We start from the raw sequence: 23,423 nt of genomic DNA on the forward strand, positions 1-23,423 counted from the left end.
AAAAACTATAAAAGCTTCTAATCTTGGGAAGTACACTGTTCAACATCTTATCACTTAGCTACTTCTCTCCTGTGTTTTTTAACTAGACTGTCCTTTAGAGAGAAGGAAGAATGTGTATGTACTATTTCCTCAAAGTGAGCAGAACATAGAGCAGAACTAGTAACAAGAATGATGATAAAACTCAAGATGCTACTGGCTTGGGAGAAGTTACATGTAACACATTCTTAATATGTAACCTGTACCTGGCCACAGATATACTAAGCTCTATTTTAGCTTTTTTTTTCATTGGGTACAATATATGGTTTTTAACTCAATAAAATTTCTCTTTATTTGGCTGATTATGCAGAAATTAGTTATGCTTTATTTAACCCACATTTACTAATATGTTTATTATACTTAGTTCAGCCCATTTATTCAGGTAACGTGGAGCTGATCAGAATAAAGTTATTGTTCAGTTGTCACATGAGCAACTTCACTTCATTCAATCCAGTATCAATAGATTGTACCCGAGCCCAAGAAAGTTATTTTGCAAACATGTATTTATGACAGAAGCCACCAAGAAGGGATTTATACAAATCCATTTTCATTCCCAAAAGAAACACCTCACATGTACTTTAATGGTGGTATATGTTAGCAGCGTATAAAGTCATCTTTGTATACAACAAAAAATTGTTATATGGCTCCATTCTTCAATCGGTAAAAGCCCTGAATGGGTATAGATGTAGATTTATCGCCTGCATTCAACAGGTGTTAACTGTATAAATTTAAAAGTATCTTCCTAAGTCAAGCATTTTGAAATTTTAATCATATCTTGTTCTCTGTCCAGGTGCAGTGGCTTACATCTGTAATCCCAACACTTTGGAAGGCCAAGGTGGGAAGTCAGCTTGAGGTCAGGAATTTTAGACCAGCCTGGTGAACATAGCAAGACCCCATCACTACAAACACTACGAAAAAATTAGCCAGGCACAGTGGCACACCCCTGCAGACACAGCTACTTGGGAAGCTGAGGCAGGAGGATCACTTGAGCCCAGGAGTTTGAGGCTGCAATAAGCTATCATCGTGCCACTGCATTCCAGCCTGGGTGACAGAGTGAGACCTCATCTCAAAAAGAAAAAAAAAAAAGTAAAGACAATACAATTCAAATAATTTTATTTTTTTTTTTTTGGAAACAGAGTCTTGCTCTGTCACCCAGGCTGGAATGCAGTGGCGTGATCTCAGCTCACTGCAACCTCTGCCCCCTGGGTTCAAGCAATTGTCTGCCTCAGCCTCCCCAGTAGTTGGGATTACAGGCACACACCACCACGCCTGGCTAATTTCTTTTTATTTTTTGTAGAGATGGGGTTTTGCCTGTCGGCCAGACTGGTCTTGAACTCTTGACCTCAAGTGACCCACCTGCCTCAGCCTCCCAAAGTGCTGGAATTACACTTTGCCCAGCCAATATATACATTTTTTAAATCTTATTTTATATTTTATTATAGAAATTTTCACCCATGTGCATAGCAAAATTTTGTTCATGGTATATTTAACATAAGCATGTAGATTCTTAAAATAAGGAACTTCTCTTTTTAACGTACTCTAAGAACCAATACATATTTGTTGAGTTACAAGTAGAGTGGAGCAAATTTTATAAGCCTGATGGATGCATAGGATTGAAAACATTCCTTAAATGTAATGTGACTGTCTGTCTATATGACATTGGTGTCTCAGTGATTAAATACTTTAGGCCTCAAGGGTCCATAAAGAGACTCTTTTCTAAAAATACAGTTGACTTGAAAGATTTACTGAAGCTTGCTTCAACTGCTATCCTTGAGAACTGTTAAAACAATATAATTGTCAAACTAGTGTATTGCTAATCCAATTTTTATTGTTAACATTTGCCACTGAAATTGCTCTTTAATTGTTTATTTTGGAATAGACACATAAAATATCATGACAGCAATATTTTGGCACATATTGGAAAATCTGCCATGAATATTTTTTTCCAATAAAACAGAGGTTACCTATATTACTTGGCATTAAAATGATTTACTGAAGTAGGCCAAAACATAAACCACGGAAATAAAATGAAGAAAGATTAGAGTTATAGCAAACTCCAAAGGCTGATACATCCAAATTCACACTTAAGGCACATTTCAAAGCAACTTATACTCTTTTGAAAAAGTAGAGAGAAAAAATAAGTCCTCCATCCTGTGCATCCAGCAATTCTGCACTCAAAAGCCAAGACAATGGACTCTTCTGATGGCTCACATTTTTCAGGAACCCGCATTTATTAAACAAGCGCAGACTGCCTTAGTGCGGTACACCGTGAAGACTGTACGTACTATAATACAAATGCATTCAGCTTAATCCAGCGTATGCTGCCTGAGCTCCACTCCCTGTCCATCACAGCTGCCTTGTGCTGCCAATGAAAATGCAGAGGTCTCACCCAGGGGGCTCTGCTTGGGGAACAGCACCCAGCTCCCACAACAGCAATTTTTTGTAAGCCATCAGCTGCCTGGCTTTCTCCACTGTTTGGCCTGCCAAACACCAGGAAACTTGAAGCTAGAGCTCAGGATTAAAAACATTCTGCCCACTCTCTGCCCTGAATGTGATGTTAGAACTCCTGGGACATCGGATCGAACATCTGAGACGTGTTCTGTATCTTATGTTGCCAGCCCCACAGTCCCTTTGACTGATCTCAAAAACCTCATTGGTGAAAACTTGCAGAAACTCCCAGAATCGAGTTTCCACCCTTTCAATCTTCTAGTGACTGAAGGAGCATGGACACTCAAGTTTCCAGTACATGCCCATGACCCAAGCCTGACTCTTGCTGAGTCCCAAACCTGTAGCCAATCAGCCTGCCTCCTCATTGCACATGCCTCCTAAAGCACAGGCGTTCTAGACTTTTTTTGTTTCAAGTAGAGGATACTGTCTGATTTTAAAGAGCATAAATTATTTGCAAAGCCAAACAAATAAGAAATAACCACAGTATAAAGCCCTATAGGATTTCATCCCAAACTACCCTTTACCCTCATTTCCTACCATTTCTCCATGGTCCAGGCTCCCTGTACTTGGGCACATCTAAGGACAGTCAGCCCTGCCTATCCATGGGTTCCACATCTGTGCATCTGACCAACCAAAGATCAAAAATATTCAGAAAAAAAAATAAAAATAACAATACAAGAAAAAGTAACACACATTTTAAAATACAGTGTAACAACTATTTCCACAGCATTTACATTGCATTAGGTATTATAGGAAATCCAGAGATGATTTAAAGTATACAGAAGGATGTGCAAAGGACTTGAGGATCTGTAGATTTTAGTATGAGGGTGGTTTCTAGAATCAATCCCACGAGGATACTAGAGCCAAGTATACTTAGCATTGAGTACACTGACCTAGCCTTCCCCTTCCCCAAGCTGAACTCCCTCCTCCTTCCCTCAAAATACCTCCTCCTCTTCCCCCAAAGCCCTGTTCAAAGGTTACTCCTTCTGTGAGATTCTCCCACTTTTCCCAGAGTTGGTCACTCCCTTCCCCGGGGTCCACAGCTTTCCAGACCTACCTTCGTAACAGCTCCTATAATGCTCCTACCTGATCATGTGTGTACACATCACTCTCTCCCTGCAACGTGAACTTAGAGGGCCTACCCATTAGTCCTCCAGACAGGAAGTAGCACTGTGCCTCCTCAGTAGGTAGTGACAACTGGAGATAATTTTTATTTTTTCTCCAAAATAATACAAATTAATTTCAATTGGTTTTTTATTTAACCAGTTTGAATCCATACTTGGGGCTCGTGGTTTGCCATACAACTCCAGAAATGTCTGTTCTTCCTAAGATTTCCACTTCACTATTTTATATAGATAAGATCTCAAATTCAGAATTGTAGTCCCTCCACTTCATTTGCCTGCATAACTACAGGAAAAAAACAGAGAAGCTGCCTGCAATTCCTGCCCATCAGAAAAGACAGGCTCACTTTCTTAATGGAAGACATCTAGGAGAGGAGCACATCATAGAAGAAACTCTAGAAAGGAAGAAGGAAGTTACAAAGCTCATAAGCAGGTTTTAAGTACATCAGACAGAAGCTGGAAAACAGGGATGGGCTAAAAGTAAAGAAAAAAGTCATCAGGAGGTCACAGTAGACTACCAGCTAAATGAATCAAATGATGTTTCGCTATTTTCTTAATGGGTAGCCAGAAGGCATAAGTAGCAGCCGAGCATGCAGGGCCCCACACAATCTTCTCATTATGCCTTGTTCTGATCAAATCACTGCAAAGAAGCTGCCATATATATGCTAGACACCACCAAGGCCCTCAAACTTAGAAACCAAACCAAATTGAAATATATACTGCTTCCTTGAAACCTGAAATCTATCAGCTCTAAGATGCACCATTATTTTATCAAGCACTAAGAAAGAAAAATGCTGCCAATTAAACTATGACACGGTTTCTTATTACTTAGAATTTTTATCTTCTTTTTATTGAAAGAGCTCTTTTAGACTTATTCAGACATAGATTTTTATAATATATCACTTTTAGGCATTTGTAAAAAGAAAAATAAAACTGAAATAAATTGGTTAAGGCAATGACAACCAGGTCAACTGGCTGAAAGCAATGGTAAAACACCATTGATTTGGAAAGTATATCTCAGTTTCAGAAATGTTAAAATCTGAAAAAAAAAAAATGTGCATCATAGAATCAAGAAAACACTGTATTATATCTAGCTTGGTGACAACAATTTTAAAAGGATAAGTAATAGTTCACAGGATAACTGCTACAAAGATATTTCATCGATTGAAAAATGTATTTCTACACAGAAAAAAGTTGAGATTATTCAACTCAAAAAAGACAAAAGTAGAATAGGAATTTAATAATGTTCTTCAAGGACATCAAACTCCTGCCTCATAAAGCAGTGATTTCCAACACTTTTCTTCTTTACTTTTTAGCAGCAAGATCTCTTTTTCAGATAATGTCCTATAAGAAATCTGAGCATGGAACTGTTCTGGTTAGAAAAAGAGCACCATCCCTGACATGCCTGCAAGGCCATAGGGCTCAGGACTGGCTAAAATGGTGATCTGGAGGGTAGATGTCACCTTCTACCCATTCCCTATGACAGCTATACCACAATGACAAGGGTTCAAATTGTGGCATTAATCAATTATTTAAAAATGGTTTGTAAAATACAAAACACTTGTTGGGTGCTCAGTATACAGAGATTAATCAAGTATGAAGGTGTTCTGGTAACCTACCAAAAGGAATTTTTTATGTTGAGATTTTAGACCTTGAGATGATTGCCGAAGATAAGGTAAGAACTTTCTGTCAGCCACAAAAGGAGTTATATTCATCTAACGGGTTAGAAGCCCTCCTTGCCACAGCAAAAGGATGAATCATGTAGACCCACTAAGGCCCATTCTAGCTCTAGGATGTCTATAAAATGAGTCTCTTTCCAAATGCATTCAAATGTAGCTGAGTTTGGACAGCTTTGGCTCTTGCCCCATACCCAACCATGTGGCCAAACTCAACAGTTTGCTAGACCACTGTCCTCCAAAACAAATTCAACTCCATAACAAATTGGCAAATAATGTGTATCTGACTGAAGATGGAAAGATACACATATCCATATCACTGGTGAAACTTTAACATCTCCGTTAGAGAGCTCTTGATCATTTCTTCATCTGCCTCTTCTCTATCCTTTCTCTAAAATCCCTTCTTACAATTCTAAGCAACTCAGTCCAGGCTCTAACCTTACATGTTCCACTCATCAAGGCAGCTGTCATCTTGTCACCTGAACATGCTTTGGGAATAGTACCCATTCCCATCTCTACTCCCCATGCAATGCAAATAACTCAGCAAATCCACTCAGCTCTCCTGAAAATCTGCAGCTAAGAAAAATAAAGTTTTCACCATATGGACATGACAGCACACAAACGATTTATAGAATAATATTTTAAGATGATTAAGGAAAGTTGATTTCCCATGTGTAGGGTTATCAGACTATCACAACTAATGCTCCCCTACTGATGACCAAGGTAAGTTAGGCTGATCTGGCTGGGGAAGTGCCCCCTCTGTTGTGCCTTGTGCTGTTACTGAGCTAGGGAGGTAAAGTACTTAGGAAAAGAGAATAACATACCCAGGCACAAGAGAACCTTTCTTTGGCAATGGGCACTTGCTTGCAAGCACCAACTCAATTTTCAGCCTAATTCATAGATCTGTATTTGGTATAATTAGGGATTTATCAGAGACAAAGAAAGTTGACCCCGCATCCCATTTTATTCTCTACACACAGGAAACACAGAGGAAAGATTTTCTTTAACAGATGGTTTTAAATTAAATTGTATTCTGTGAACAGAAAAATGGTGTATGGAAGCTAAGCTATTCTAGGTTCTGAAGAAGACAACTTTCTGACCACAGGCATAAAACTGCTGATCTGGTACCCAGTAACTGCAAAGTCAGAGGGCTTCATACTGAGCACCAGAAAATTCATACTGAAGTGTAGCAATAATCATTCTTCCCTCTCTATACAAACCAACCTCAGATAAAGTAATCTATGTTAGAAAATATATATTGTGTAATACAACAGAGCTAAAATTTAAAAGATTTGTGGAAAGAAGGCAGTCATTAGCCAGTAGCCCTACATTAATTTCAGAGCTTGACATTCCTTTACAGATAAGAAAGCTGAAGTCCAAGGAGGTTAAGTGTGATGATGATGGACGTACAATCCTTCAGGGCAGAGGCAGGGTTAGCAACACAGTCCTACAACATGGTTAAAATCTTTACAATTTCAAAATTTCATTTGAATTTCAAATGCACATTTCCGTTCTTACCAGAGTTACTTCAAAAATGAGTGGGATCAGTTTGCTTTCTTCCACAAGTCTGTTAAAAACAAGAAAAAAAGATAAGTGCACATTAGACAATTCATATTTGCACTGATGGCCTGATATAAAGCACCTCAGCCCCCATGTTTTATTGCTAAAATTCCATGATAAGAAATAGTATGATTAAACATTCTTTTTAAGACACTGAACTATAGCTATTAAACAAGAAATATGAGGCTTTTTTGCAAGTGACTACTAGCTTAGCCTTATTGATGTGTAGCAAGTGAAATCTCAAATAGATTGGTATTTTTAATGCAGGGATTAAAATTCACAATTATTATAAAGACTATCAAAATAGGTAATATCAGCTGAAATAATGTAACCAACCCTCTCTGCACTGTTAAATCATAAAATGACACACTGTAATTTTTTATATATGCCTCATTAGCTGTATTCTCAGCATTAAGAAATTAATGTATGACGAATTTTAATGATCTTTAATTTTTAAAAAATTAGACACCAGTCACCTGGTAGACACTAGGCACTTTCCCTCATCAAATCTAGTTATCAATTGTCATCAATTGTAATAGAAGAATTTTTTCATAAAAGAGAAAACAGCCTTGGTAAAACCTAAATCATTCAAAAGTCACAGTTTTGATTAAGAACAATATTTGTGACATCCAGGGAGGAGCCAAGATGGCCGAATAGAAACAGCTCTGGTCTGCAGCTCCCAGCAAGACCAACACAGAAGGCAGGTATTTCTGCATTTCCAACTGAGGTACCCAGTTCATCTCACTGGGACTGATTAGGCATTGGGTCCAACCCACAGAGGGATAGCAGAAGCAGGGTGGGGCGTCGTCTCACCAGGGAAGTGCAAGGGGCTGGGGACCTCCCTCCCCCAAGCCAAGGAAAGCTGTGAGGAACTGTGCTACCCGGCCTGGTTACTACGCTTTTCCCACGGTTTTTTCAATCTGCAGATCAGGAGATTCCCTCGTGTGCCTATGCCACCAAGGTCCTGGGTTTCAAGCACAAAACTGGGAGGCTGTTTGGGCATTCACCAAGCTAGCAGTAGCGGCAGGAGTGTTTTTTCATACCCGGCAGCACCTGGAACCCCATCTAGACAGAACCGTTCACTCCCCAGGGAAGGGGGCTGAAGCCAGGGAGTCAAGTGGTCTTGCTCCATGGGTCCCACTCCCACGGAGCCCAGCAAGCTAAGAACCATTGGCTTGAAATTCTCACTGCCAGCACAGCAGTCTGAAATTGACCTGGGATGATCTAGCATGGTAGCGGAGGGGAATCTGCCATTACTGAGACTTTAGTAGGTGGTTTTTCCCTGACAGTGCTAAGAAGCCTGGGCAGGGCAAAGCAGCTGTGGCCAGACTGCTTCTCTAGATTCCTCCTCACTGGGCAGGGCATCTCTGAGGAAAGGTAGCAGCCCAAGTCAGGGGCTTACAGACAAAACCCCAATCTCCCTGGGACAGACCACCTGGGGGAAGGGGCAGCTGTGGGTACAGATTCAGCAGATTTCATTGTTCCTGCCTGCCAGCTCTGAAGAGAACAGCTGATGCTCTTGACAAGACGGATTCTCCCAGCACAGAGCACCAGCTCTGCTAAGGGACAGGCTGCCTCCTCAAGTGGGTCCCTGACCCCAAGCCTCCTGACTGGGAGAAACCTCCCAACAGGGGTCGACAGACACCTCATACAGGAGAGCTCTGGCTGGCATCAGGCCGGTGCCCCTCTGGGACAAAGCTTCCTGAGGAATAAGCAGGCAGCAATCTTTGCTGTTCTGCAGCCTCCACTGGTGATACTCAGGCAAACAGGGTCTGGAATGGACCTCCAGCAAACTGCAGTAGACCTGCAGAAGAGGGGCCTGACTGTTTGAAGAAAAACTAACAAACAGAAAACAACAACATCAACATCAACATAAAAAACCCCCACACAAAAACCCCATCCAAAGGTCATCAGCCTCAAAGATCAAAGGCAGATAAATCCATGAAGATGAGGGAAAGTCAGCACAAAAATGCTGAAAATTTCAAAATCCAGAATGCCTCTTCTCCTCCAAATGATTGCAACTCCTCTCCAGCAAGGGCACAAAACTGGATGGGGAATAAGTTTTACAAATTAACAGAAGTAGGCTTCAGAAGGCGGGTGATAACAAACTCCTCTGAACTAAAGCAGCATGTTCTAACCCAATGCAAGGAAGTTAAGAACCTTAATAAAAGGTTACAGGAACTGCTTACTAGAATAAGCAGTTTACAGAGAAACATAAATGACCTGATGGAGCTGAAAAACATAGCACGAGAACTTTGAGAAGCATACACAACTATCAATAGCTGAATAGATCAAGTGGAAGAAAGTATATCAGAGATGGAAGATCAATTTACTGAAATAAGGCATGAAGAAAAGATTAGAGAAAAAAGAAGGAAAAGGAACGAACAAAGCCTCCAAGAAATATGGGACTATGTGAAAAGACCAAACCTATGATTGACTGGTATACCTGAAAGTGATAGGGAGAATGGAACAAAGTTAAAAAACATATTTCAGGATATTATCCAGGAGAACTTCCCCACCATAGCAAGATAGGCCAACATTCAAATTCAGGAACTACAGAGAACACAACTAAGATACTCCTCAAGAAGAACAACTCCAAGAAACATAATCGTCAGATTCTCCAAGGTTGAAATGAAGGAAAAAATGTTAAAGGCAGCCAGAGAGAAAGGTCAGGTTACCAACAAAGAGAAGCCCATCAGACTAACAGCAGATCTCTCTGCAGAAATACTATAAGCCACAAGAGCGTGGGGGCCAACATTCAACATTCTTAAAGAAAAGAATTTTCAACCCAGAATTTCATATGCAGCCAAACTAAGCTCCATAAGTGAAGGAGAAATAAAATCCTTTCCAGATGAGCAAATGCTGAGGGATTTTGTCACTACCAGGCCTGCTTTACAGGAGCTCCTGAAGGAAGCACTAAATATGGAAAGGAAAAACTGGTACCATCCACTGCAAAAACACACCAAAATATAAAGACCAATGACACTATGAAGAAATTGCATCAACTAATATGCAAAATAACCAGCTAGCATCATGATGACAGGATCAAATTCACACGGAACAATATTAACCTTAAATGTAAAAGGGTTCAATGCCCCAATTAAAAAACACTGACTGGCAAATTAGATAAAGAGTCAAGACCCATTGGGGTGCTGTATTCAGGAGACCCATCTCACATGCAAAGACAAACATGGCCTCAAAATAAAGGGATGGAGGAATATTTACCAAGCAAATGAAAAGAAAAAAAAAAGCAGGGGTTGCAATCCTAGTCTCTAGGATTTAAAATAGACTTTAAACCAACAAAGATCAAAAAAGACAAAGAAGGGCATTACATAATGGTAAAGGGATCAATGCAACAAGAAGAGCTACCTGTGCTAAATATATATGCACCCAATACAGGAGGACCCAGATTCATAAAACAAGTTCTTAGAGACCTACAAAGAGAAGCAGACTCCCAATAATAATAGTGGGAGACTTTAACACCCCACTGTCAATATTAGACCAACGAGACAAAAAATTAACAAGGATATTCAGGACTTGAACTCAGCTCTGGACCAAGTGGACCTAATAGATACCTACAGAACTCTCCACCACAAATCAACAGACTATACATTCTTCTCAGTGCCACATAGCATGTATTTTAAAATTGACCACATAATTAGAAGTAAACACTCCTCAGCAAATGCAAAAGAATGGAAATCATAACAAACAGTATCTCAGACCACAGTGCAATCAAATTCAGGATTAAGAAATTCACTCAAAACCACATAACTACATGGAAACTGAACAACCTGCTCCTGAACGACTACTGGGTAAATAACGAAATGAAGGCAGAAATAAAGTTATTTGAGACCAATGAAAACAAAGACACAATGTACCAGAATCTCTGGGACACAGCTAAAGCAGTGCTTACAGGGAAATTTATAGCAGCAAATGCCCACAGGAAAAAAACGGGAAAGATCTAAAATCGACACCCTAACATCATAATTAAAAAAAACTAGAGAAGCATGAGCAAACAAATTCAAAAGCTAGGAGATGACAAGAAATAACTAAGATCAGAGCAGAACTGAAAGAGATGGAGACACGAAAAACCCTTCAAAATAATCAATTAATCCAGGAGCTGGTTTTTAGAAAAGATTAACAAAACAGATGGAACACTAGCTAGACTAATAAAAAGAGAGAAGAATCAAATAGACACAACAAAAAATGATACAAGGGACATCACCACTGATCTCACAGAAATACAAACTACCATCAGAGAATACTACAAAAACCTCTATGCAAATAAACTAGAAAATCTAGAAGAAATGGATAAATTCCTGCGCACATACACCCTCCCAAGACTAAACCATGAAGAACTCGAATCCCTGAATAGACCAATAAGAAGATCTGAAATTGAGGGAGTATTTAATAACCTACTGGCCAAAAAGAGCCCAGGACCAGACAAATTCACAGCCGAATTCTACCAGAGGTACAAAGAGGAGCTGGTACCATTCCTTCTGGAACCATTTCAAACAACAGAAAAAGGACTTCTCCCTAACTCATTTTATGAGGCTAGCATCATCCTGATACCAAAACCTGGCAGAGACACAACAAAAACAACAACAAAAAATTTCAGGTCAATATCCCTGATGAACATCAATGTGAAAATCCTCAATAAAATACTGGCAAACTGAACCCAGCAGCACATCAAAAAGCTTATCCACCACGATCAAGTTGGCTTCATCCCTGGGATGCAAGGCTGGTTCAACATACGCAAATCAATAAATGTAATCCATCATATAAAAATAACAAATGACAAAACCACATGATTATCTCAATAGATGCAGAAAAGGCCTTCAGTAAGATTCAACATCCCTTCATGCTAAAAACTCTCAATAAACTAGGTATTGATGGAACATATGTCAAAATAATAAGCGCTATGTATGACAAACCTATAGCCAATATAATATTGAATGGGTAAAAGCTGGAAGCATTCCCTTTGAAAACCGGCACAAGACAAGGATGCCCTCTCTCACCACTCCTATTCAACATAGTATTGGAAGTTCTGGCTGGGGCAATCAGGCAAGAGAAAGAAATAAAGGGTATTCAAATAGGAAGAGAGGAAGTCAAATTGTCTCTGTTTGCAGATGACATTTTTATATATTTAGAAAACCCCATCATCTCAGCCCAAAAGTTCCTTAAGCTGATAGCAACTTCAGCAAAGTCTCAGGATATAAAATTAATGTGCAAAAGTCACAAGCATTCCCATACACTAACAAAGACAAGCAGAGAGCCAAATCATGAATGAACTCTCATTCACAATTGCTACAAAGAGAATAAAATACTTAGAAATACAACTTACAAGGGATGTGAAGGACCTCTTCAAGGAGAACTACAAACCACTGCTCAAGAAAATAAGAGAGGACACAAACAAATGGAAAATCATTCCATGCTCATGGATAGGAAGAATCAATATCATGAAAATGGCCATACTGCCCAAAGTAACTTATAGATTCAATATTATTCCTATCAAGCTACCATTGACTTTCTTCATGGAATTAGAAAAAACCATTTTAAATGTCATATGGAACCAAAAAAGAGCCTGTAGAGCCAAGACAATCCTAAGCAAAAAGAACAAAGCTGGAGGCATCATGCTATCTGACTTCAAACTATACTAAAAGGCTTCAGTAACCAAAACAGCATGGTGCTGGTACCAAAACAGATATATAAACCAATGGAACAGAACAGAGACCTCAGAAATAACATCACCCATCTACAACCATCTGATCTTCAACAAACCTGACAAAAACAAAAATGGGGAAAGGATTCCCTATTTAATAAATGGTGCTTGGAAAACTGGTTAGCCACATGCAGAAAACTGAAACTGAACCCCTTCCTTACACTTTATACAAAAATTAACTCGAGATGGACTATATAGTTACATGTAAAACCCAAAACCATAAAAATCCTAGAAGAAAATCCAGGCAATACCATTCAGGACATAGGCATGGGCAAAGACTTAATGACTAAAACACCAAAAGCAATGGCAACAAAAGCCAAAATTGACAAATGGGATCTAATCAAACTAAAGAGCTCTGCAAAGCAAAAGAAACTACCATCAGAGTGAAAAGGCAACCAACAGAACGGGAGAAAATTTTTGCAATTTTTCTGTGTGACATAGGTCTAACAGCCAGAATCTACAAAGAACTTAAACAAATTTACAAGAAAAAAACAAACAACCCCAACAGAAAAGGCGAAGGGTATGAACAGACACTTCTCAAAAGAAGACATTTACGTGGCCAACAAACATATGAAAAAGAGCCATCATCACTGGTCCTTAGAGAAATGCAAATCAAAATCACAATGAGATACCATCTCAAGCCAGTTGGAATGGCAATTATTAAAAAGTCAGGAAACACCAGATACTGGCAAGGCTGTGGAGAAATAGGAACACTTTTACACTGTTGGTGGGAGTGTAAATTACTTCAACCATTGAGAAAGACAGTGTGGCAATTCCTCAAGGATCTAGAACCAGAAATACCATTTGACCCATTTGGGTATATACCCAAAGGATTGTATATCATTCTGCTATAAAGACACATGCACATATATGTTTACTGCAGCACTATTTACAATAGTAAAGACTTGAAACCAACCCAAATGCCCATCAATGATAGACTGGATAAAGAAAATGTGGCTCATATACACCATGGAATGCTATGCAGCCATGAAAAGTAGGAGTTTGTGTCCTTTGCAGGGACATGAAGCTGGAAACCATCATTCTCAGCAAACTAACACAGGAACAGAAAACTAAACGCTGCATGTTCTCACTCATAAATGGAAGTTAAACAATGAGAACACACACATGGACACAAGGAGGGGAACATCATACACCAGGGCCTGTCGGGGAGTGGAGGGAAAGGGGAGGGAGAACATTAGGACAAATACCTAATGCATGCAGAGCTTAAAACCGAGATGATGGGTTGATAGGTGTAGCAAACCACCATGGTACATGTATACCTATGTAACAAACTTGCATGTTCTGCACATGTACCCCCAAACTTAAAATTTAAAAAAGAACAATATTTGAATCTCTAAATACTCTTTTAGTCCAGGGTTCAGAAAAGATTTTTTCCGTAACAGTCCAAATAGCTAATAGCCCAAATATTTCAGGCTTTGCAGGCCACATTGTCTCTATAGCAACTACTCAACTCTGTCATCATAAAGTAAAAGCAGCCATAAAGAATATAGAAAGAAATAAACATGGGTGTGTTCCAATAAAACTTTATTTATAAACAACAGGCAGTGGGCCATGTTTAGGGGAAAGCTACAGTTTGCAGGTTACCGCTTCAGTCCAAAAAATAAAATAAAATCATATTCCTTTCTACTATTTTATTAGAATTTTGTATGATAAATTACAGAGCTTAAGACAAACATGTTACATATGTTGTAGGTATGTGTAGTTTGTCTATTTCACAGAAAACACCAGATATTTAATAGTATGATTAAATGCTCACGGATAGAAAGGGAATTTTAACATCTGGCCTCCCAGGAGCTTATTTGTCTATGATAACACACTGATAAAAGAAAAGCCTATGAGACTAACCAAAAAAGATCACAGTGTTTACATACACTTGTGAAGGGAAAATGAGATACAGAGATTTACCAAAGACTGAAGCACTTAGAAAGTCCACCTTGATGTCTAGCAAAAAAAAATGTGATTACTATTCATTGCAGCATTATCCATAATAGACAAGATACGGAAACAACCTAAATGACCATCACTGGGTGAATGAATAGAAAAAAATGCAGCATATGTACACAATGGAATACTCATCAGCCTTAAAGAAACAAGAAACTCTCATTTGTGACGATAAGGATGAATTATCCTAAGTGAAATAAGTCAAGCACAGAAAAACAAATACTACATGATTTCACTTATATGTAGACTCTAAAAAAGTCAAACTCAAGAGAAGTAGAGGGTAGAATGGTGGTTACCAGAGTGGGAAGGTGTGGACAAGAAAAGGAAAGATATAAATCAAAGGGTATAAAGTTAAGTTAGACAGGAGAAATAAGTTAGTTAATAATAATGTAGTATGTATTTCAAAATTATTACAAGAGTAGATTTTAAGTGTTCCCACCACAAAGAAATGATAGCACGTGAAGTGATGGACATGTTAATTAGTCTGATTTACTCACTCCACAAAGTATACACATATCATAACATTACACTCTATGCCACAAATACACAATTATAATTGTCAGTTAAAAATAATTTTAAATAAATAATGTTGATAAAGTTTAAAAATAAATAGATGTGATCACTTCTGTAGTTTCAATGAAAACAGTTTTGGTGACAAATGTTAAGTTCATTTATATTTTCTCTCTTTCCTGGGCAATTGAATGAAGGCTCAGACGTGAGGCTGAGGCTCCTTACATCATGCCTAGGTAGGACAGGAAACACGCAGACTCAAAACCACGAACAACTTCAGGTCCAGCACATTCACAGTCTTCTTCCTCAGTTTCCTTAAATTTGTCTTCTTAAGTTTTTATGATTTATACTATTATTAGGCCTGGGCTAAAATAACCAAGCACATACATCTCAGAGTTGCCCTGGCAACCGAGGCCAATGAAGTCAGAAGAACATAAATGCCACGACTTCTCCAATGGTACCTGGACGATCCAGAGCATCACTCACAACACCGGCCCTTTAACGGTAGTATTTTAAACTATATTCTACTAAGGCATAACCACACAAAACTATCTTAATTCCTTCTTAAGAACTGCAGCTAGTTCTTCTCCAGGTCTCTGCATGATGCGCACGCTGGCCTGGATTACCTCTTAAGTCTCTTTGACTATAAATGCTAACATTCCATTCTCACATTCTTCTGAATACAATATACCATAACAATTTTTGTTCTTTGATTTGACTAATTATGTAGCTCTAAACATAATTTAGAGCTACATAAATTATTCCTGGGTAAATAAAAAGAGAATTCAAGCTAAGTAATTTTTTTTAGTGGTAAGCCTAATAAGGACGATAATTCATCCTTATCGTCACAAATGAGAGTTTCTTGTTTCTTTAAGGCTGATGAGTATTCCATTGTGTACATATGCTGCGTTTTTTTCTATTCATTCATCCAGTGATGGTCATTTAGGTTGTTTCCGTATCTTGTCTATTATGGATAATGCTGCAATGAATAGTAATCACATTTTTTTTTGCTAGACATCAAGGTGGACTTTCTAAGTGCTTCAGTCTTTGGTAAATCTCTGTTAAAAAAAATTTCTGTATTGTTTTCTATGACTTATGAACTCACCTCAAATGTAATTTCAACTGACGGATGTTAAAGCAAGTAAGGAAGAAGGGTGGCTGCAAACATTTACAATTCTCTAAGGCAGAATTTTTCTAAATTGTGAGAGGTGATCAATAAGTGGACAATGAGATTAGTTTACTGGGTATTGACTAGCATGTTTTTAATTAAAAGAATAAAACAGAATATCCAAGGGTATCGCACATAGTATTGTTCTGTAATGTACTGAGTGGTAGCATAAAATGCTTTTCTTTTTTTAAACCATGAATTGAATAACTTTTGATAAAATATCTGATATCCACGGATTTAAGGAGATTGCTTTAGAGACAATATTCATTTGTTTTTCAGTAATTTCTTAAAATGTGGTTTTAAAAAATCGGTCTCCTTACTTTAAGCATCTCCTCTCACACAAGCATAGGTCCAATTGGTGGAGACAGTGATCAAACCCCAACGCACTCTGAATTGTGGCGCCATCTACTCAGCGCACCCTTCATTTGATGCAGTACTTTGGAGAGCAGCTCCGGTGCTCAGGCCTCGCAGAGGCCAAGGAGGATGAGGCTTACCACTAAAAAAAAGTTGATGTTGCTGATTTCTAGAGAATTATCAGACAACAAGTATTCAATAATCATAGCAGATCTTACAAAATAATGACGCAAAAGACTCTTTCACTATCGGGCTCTGTTGTGGTTGGCCACCATGACTTAAATCATCTGTCATTTTACTACATGGGCTTGTTATATCCTAAATCCGAAAAGAATGAAATGTCTATAATTTACAGACAGCCTGAAGGACAAGAAGTGAAGAGATTTACCTAAATTTTTTTAAACCAAAACCAAACAAAATGAAGACCTTTTTGAAATTATCCCTGATCTTCAAAGGATTCTCAACATATTAACTATGTTACAGTATACTTTTCTTCCTTTATTTTAGCCAGCTAAGCACACTGTGTTTAAGTAACTCCAGATGGGTAAACTAAAATATACTGCACTTCCCAAATGCAGTTTCCAGGACCACTTTACCCTGGGGTTGGTTGGTTTGTTTCCCCTTTAATGGTGCCATTTAATGACAGATTTCATGTGGTTAAAGAGTCTCCCTTACAAAGTTTGGGTTCAGAAACCATTTTGTATATCTGTGGTTTATATTATTAACAAAGGAGGTAGTGTTTCAATTACCAAGTTTGGAATAAACTTATAAAACCTTTAAGAATACATTATTTCACACTCTAACTCCCTCCTGTGCCTAAATGTTACCCTTAATGTTGGAAAAAAATTTTTTAATTTATTTATTAATGTTTGATAGTCCAAGTGTCAATACACAATATTTTAAATGTCATGTATTTAAGTACTATTTAAATAAACTATGTATTTAAATTAGGATAATTATTTAGTTGAGATTCATCTATGGAAGCTACAAGCACAAATTGATCTTAAGATGATTTTGTCACGAAATGTGCTGTGATTATTAAATAATTAAAATGCAAATTTTAAAGAATGAGTCAATACTTTTCATGTAAGAAAGTACATTGCTTTTTTTTTTTTTTTTGAGATGGAGTCTCGCTGTCACCCAGGCTGGAGTGCAGTGGTGCAATCTCAGCTCACTGCAAGCTCTGCTCCCAGGTTCACGCCATTCTCCTGCCTCAGCCACCCGAGTAGCTAGGACTACAGGCGCCCGCCACCATGTCCGGCTAATTTTTTTTGTACTTTTAGTAGAGACGGGGTTTCACCATGTTAGCCAGGATGGTCTCGATCTCCTAACCTCGTGATCCACCCGCCTCGGCCTCCCAAAGTGCTGGGATTATAAGCGTGAGCCACCGTGCCTGGCCAAAAGTACACTTGCTTTTGAGGTAAAGTCATAGCAGTGGCCTATGGAATATGGTGGCCTTGGTCTTTCTCTATTTTCTGGCACAGCTGTATTTCATGTCCATTGAAAACAAAGGCTAAATATAAAGTAAATCTGATAATATTTAGATATAAATTACTAGCTGCAATTTAGGAAAAGTAGGAATAAGGAGATTAACTTCATTTATATTCAGAGAGATAAAGAAGTGGGTTGAGCTAAATTTCACACCATTATTAACATTTTCTAACTTTCCTTTAAAATTTAAAACTTTTGCCTCAAGGCCATGTAGGGATGAACCAAGAATAAAATTAAGAGGAATGAAGTCTCTCTGTCCTACCCCCACCTTAGTCCTATTTATTCAGAGAGCAGAGGAATCAGGAGAAGGGAGAGGTAAATAAAGAAGGGAAAGAATCTCTGCCTGTTCTGAGCTCAGTTTTGCAGGACAAAGACATTAGCTCCCCCAAGAATGACAGGACAGGTCCATGGAGATCACTGGGTTGGTCCATGGAGCTGCCCCATCTTAGGTTCCCTTGCTTGCTTGCAGTTTTTATCTACTCATAAAAAGAGTAGACAAGACACATGAAGCAAGACACATGACACAAGAGGCGTAAGTCCCGATCCACTGTCTTTGAGCCCCCATCCGGCAAGGACACACTGTCATCTCCAAAGGGATTCTCCATCTCCATCTACGCTCTCTGCCTTTCGGGCATCCACCTTGTCATGCAGTTCTTACTTAGATACAGACTTGATTTTCTGGCAACTACCTCAGTATTTAATTTATGATTAACATTACTGAGCTCTTGCCATGGGCTAATCTTATAAACTCAAAGTCCATGCCCTCAAACTCCAGAGTCAAGCAGGTTAACAGATATACAAACAAATATAAAAGTAGAATTAACTTCTATCACAGATATGCATGTATGCACAGGATGTAAGGGAACAGACACGAAGAAAACCTAGCTAGCCCAAACTGGTGAGAGGAGGTGTTCGTGAGCCTTGAAAGACTGTAGGAATTGGCCAGTTATGATGTGGGGAGGGGCAGGCATGATAGAGGAGGGTAAGGAGGACTACCAGGAGAGCATTGTAAAAGGTCAGTGTGACAGATGGAACAGAATGATACAGCCTTGAATGCCATGCTAAGAAATGCTAAGAAGTTTGGGTTTTACCCTAAAGGTTATGGGTAACCTCCAAGGATTTTAAGCAAAATGACACAGAAAGATTTGCTGTTCAAACTCCAATCTGATTGTAACAGGAAAAATGAACTGGAAGAAGTGTAGTCTAGAACACTGCTAATCAAAGTGTGGTCTGCAGACCAAAGATAGCCTACAAACTGTCACAGGTCTATGACAAGATAACTACAGAAATCTGAAAGATAGTTTATTTCTGTTGGCTCTAATGATAAAAAATTTGAAGTTTGTGACAGTTTTAAAATATGGCCCCACCAAAATATAAAAAACAGGATATTTATACAGTACCTCCCCATAAGATATTTATAATATCTGAGAAACCTGGCAAACACCACAAAGGGAGCAAGTTTCACATCACAGTCATAAGACATATCCCCATGGTATACACTCCAATATGATGCACTGAGGAGGGGACAGCATCACTTCCATGTTATTCTTGCCAAAAATGCATGACCTCAATCTAATCACGGAAAAACATGAGACAAACTTAAATGGAGGAGCATCTTACAAAGTAACTACCTAGTACACAAAAACGTATTATGGTTATGAAAGACAAGAAAAGGCTGAGGAACTGTTCCAGACTAAGGAGACAGAGAAACAAATGTAATGTGGGATCCTAGATTAAATCCTGAACCAGAAAAAGTATATCATTTGGAAAATGGGTGAAACTGGAGTATGATCTACAGTTCGGTTAACAGTATATCAATGTTAATTTCCTGATTTTGATAACTGATAACCGTTCTATGGCTATGTAACATGTTAACAGTAGTGAAAGCTGGCTGAAGGACACATGGAAATTCTTTGTACTACTTTGACTCTGTAAGGTTAAAATTATTTGAAAGTTTAAAAGTTTTTTAAAATGACTTCTGATTTATTTGACTCTTCTCTCAGAAGAAGGATTTGTGTCTTCTTCCTGTGAGTCTGGGCAAGTTTAGGACTGCTTTGACCAAGAAAGTGGCATAGAAGTGACACTTTCTATGTGCCTATATTCTGTGTGTCTTTTTTGAATTTCATCTTTATAGTGTTTTATAAAAATATTCTAGTTACCTTTTGCTGCATAACTAGCTACTCCAAACTTAGTGGCATAAAGCAATAACCATTTTATGAAGTTCATGGATTCTGTGGGTCATGAATTTCGGCAGGACACAGTGGGGATGACTCGTCTTTGTTTCATGACGTTTGCGGCCTCAGCTGGGAAGACACAAAAGCTGTGGGGGATGGGAACAGCTGGGGGTTGTGATCACCTGAAGGTTTCCTCACTCACACTTCTGGCACCTGGGCTGGGATGATTCAAGGAAGGCTCAGTTAATTCTGTTGACTGGAGCATCTATCTATAGCTGCATTCTCCATGCAGCTTGGCCTCTCTCTGCATGATAGCTGGGTGCCAAGAGGAAGCATCCAAGGAGTAGGCTTTCAAAGAGAACCAGATGGCTTTTCTAACCTAGCTTTGGAGGTCATAACATCACTTCTATTGTGTTCTAAGTGGGCATGCGCAAGTTATGAAGGCAGTCCAGATTCAAATGGAGTGCAACTAGACTCCACCTCTTGATGGAGTATGGCACAGCTACAATACAGAAGGGCATGTGGAATGGGAAATATTATTACAGACATTTTTGTAAAATATGATCTACTACAGTATGAGTCTGCAACAAATAGAAAAATTTAAAACTGCTTCTTTGGCCGGGCATGGTGGCACATGCCTATAATCCCAGCTCTGTGGGAGGCCAAGGTGGGCAGATCACTTGAGCACCAAGAGTTTGAGACCAGCCTGGGCAACATGGAGAAAGCTGGTCTCTATAAAAAAAAAAAATATAAAAATTAGCCAGGCATAGTGGTGGGTGCCTGTAATTCCAGCTACTCAGGAGGCTGAGGTAGAAGGATCACCTGAGCCCAGGGAGGTCAAAGTTGCAGTAAGTCAGTAAGTTGTGATAATGCCACTGCTCAATGTCTCAAATAAATAAATAACTGCTTCCTCACCAGTCTGAGTAGCACTAGCCTACGTAACCAGAGAGACCTGTTAATAGGCCACTACAGCAATCTAAGGGGGACACCAATGGGGCCTTGTATTAGTTTTCTATTGCTGCCTAACAAATTCCCACAAACACAGCAGCTTAAGGCAATACCCATTTATTACTCCAATGTCCTACAGGTCAGAAGTCCATCTCAGCATGGCTGGTTAACCATATCAGGATACCACAAAGCTGGAATCATTGTGTCAGCTGGGCTAAGTTCCAGTCTGGAGGCTGGAGGTGGAGGGGATACATTTTCAAACTCATTCTTATTGTTGGCAGAATTCAGTTCCTTGCAGTTGTAGGGCTGAAGTCCTCATTTCCTTGCTGCTGCCAGCTAGGGATCTCTCTCAGCTCGTAGAGCCACACATATCCCTTACTATGTGGCCCTCTCCTTCTCTAAACCAGCGAGTGAGGATCTCCTCCACGTCAAATCCTTCTCAAGCCTCAAATCTCTTGGACTTCTCTGTCTCTGACCTCTAGACCACATTTAAAGGGCTCTTACGATTGGTCAGGCCCACCCAGATAATCTCCATATTTTAAGGTCAATTAATTTGCAACCTTAATTACATCTGCAATATCCCTCATAACAGCACTAAATTAGTGTTTAATTGACTGGAAGTTGCTATAGATACACCAGTGGCTGGAAATCTCCAAGGCCATCTTGCAGTTCTGCCTACCAGAGCCTGAACTTGCCCCTGGTCCCAGTTCCCTTCCCCCTGCCTCCTTTCTTAAAAGTAATGCATATTTGGTTCTCTGAATAAGCTGCTTCTGGCCTACTTGTGTACCAACCAAAATAGAAGCTGGGCTTTGTTTAGCTTTCCAACAATGCTAGTTAGGAGGTTTAGATTTCATATTTGCTCAGCAACTGACTGAGCACTAGACTACAAGCAAAGCTTTTTTGTTTACATAATTTACCAGTCTAGTGGACCAAGGACAGTCATTTTAAATTGAAAATCTCTAACATCAAGCTGAATTTCAAATTTTTGGATCAGTGAATCAGCTTCAAAAAGAAACAGTTTCATAATGTTTAGCTATGGTATGATATTATGTCTACCCTGAAAGCAATAACATTTGTAACATTTCTCCTTGAAATGTTTGTCCTTGCCTGCAATTCTTGCTAATTCTGCAGAGAACTGGCAGAAGTCTTACCATTAAGGTACATATATAGGGAGTTATTTTTCACACAAAAAAAGGAGGGCAGGGTTGAGATTTCAGCAGCGTTAGTATAAATAAATTTTAGAACTGGTCATTTTACAAAGATCTACAGCGTCCTCCTTATGGACAGGCATTACACTTTTTCCCTAAGGAAGTTTATACTCCAGTAGGCACAAAACGTACATAAAAATAACTTAATCCAAGTTATAAGACTGACTGCTTAATTTACTGAGAAAGTCTTAGAATTAAGTTAGAATATGCAGCTATACTAGTAATATATCTCTGATTTAGGGAAATCATCCATTGCCTACCAGCATTAAAAATATGGATTTTAGTAAGACAATTTCGGTTAGGTTAAAAGCAAATACTTTCCAACAGAATGGAGATTTTAAATGTAAACAGAATAGTTTTATGTTGCATTAATAACTTTGTAAAATGCTTTTACGCTTATTACCTCAATAGATGTCCAATACAGCCCTGTAATATTCCACACCTGTTGAACAAAATAAGGCCATGGAGTGTTTCGACCACAGAGAGTACAAAAGGAGAAATGGGAAAGCTGAAGTCAAGAGGATCTCCATACAGTGTGCAGGACTCTTTTATGAAGCACCTCTGACTCCTTCCAACCCTGGTTGCTATGATGTGGTTGCAAGTCCTGTTTCGTCCAGGGCTTTACAGAAATTGTCCCTACATCATGGTCTGTAATGCTCCTGCTACCCAGCTGAGGGCTTTGGCCTCTCACTCCCACATTCTGTCCAGTGCTTTCCATTCTTTCTGGGTCCTGAGCCTTCACTCTCTCTCTGAACCTCGTCGCTCTGCAGCTGGCCACCTTTCTCTAATGATTCTTTGAATCTTTGGCATTCTCCCCAAGACATGATTCTGTATTCATCCCACAGCTTCCCAGTTTGAAACCACATGTAAGAAGCATGCTCACATGTAAGAGGTATGCACATCCTTGCACCAGAGCTGGAAGGGGAGTGAACAGGAAGAGGCAGTATCAGTAAGAGAAAGAATTGACAGTGGCAGAGACCAAAGGCAAGTCCCTAAGAGGACCACTAGATTGTACCAGCATTTCTTTTCTCCTACAGATACGAAC

General features: G+C 39.0%; 1 protein-coding gene across 6 annotated transcripts in view, besides 1 other annotated feature; it reads right to left on the reverse strand.

The window, feature by feature from the left end:
• The window catches only part of ULK4 (unc-51 like kinase 4), a 715,505-nt gene that overhangs the window by 362,271 nt on the left and 329,811 nt on the right, over positions 1-23,423 (reverse strand). For all 6 annotated transcript variants that reach the window (NR_136342.2, NM_001322501.2, NM_017886.4 and 3 more), the window contains one exon: positions 6,800-6,848. Coding sequence is in view for 5 of the 6 variants with exons in the window: in NM_001322501.2 (NP_001309430.1) it covers positions 6,800-6,848 (49 nt within the window). In the remaining variant the exon portion in view is untranslated. The remainder of the gene's footprint in view (positions 1-6,799; positions 6,849-23,423) is intronic.
• Positions 20,160-20,661: an enhancer, noted in NCBI's record as "NANOG hESC enhancer chr3:41670520-41671021 (GRCh37/hg19 assembly coordinates)". NCBI's record gives its function as "activates a minimal SCP1, AML or CMV promoter by ChIP-STARR-seq in primed H9 embryonic stem cells {active_cell/tissue: H9 hESC(primed)}" and the evidence as "EXISTENCE:reporter gene assay evidence [ECO:0000049][PMID:30033119]".

Source organism: Homo sapiens, chromosome 3 (genome assembly GCF_000001405.40).
Source record: "Homo sapiens chromosome 3, GRCh38.p14 Primary Assembly".
In the NCBI taxonomy this organism is placed as follows: domain Eukaryota; kingdom Metazoa; phylum Chordata; class Mammalia; order Primates; family Hominidae; genus Homo; species Homo sapiens.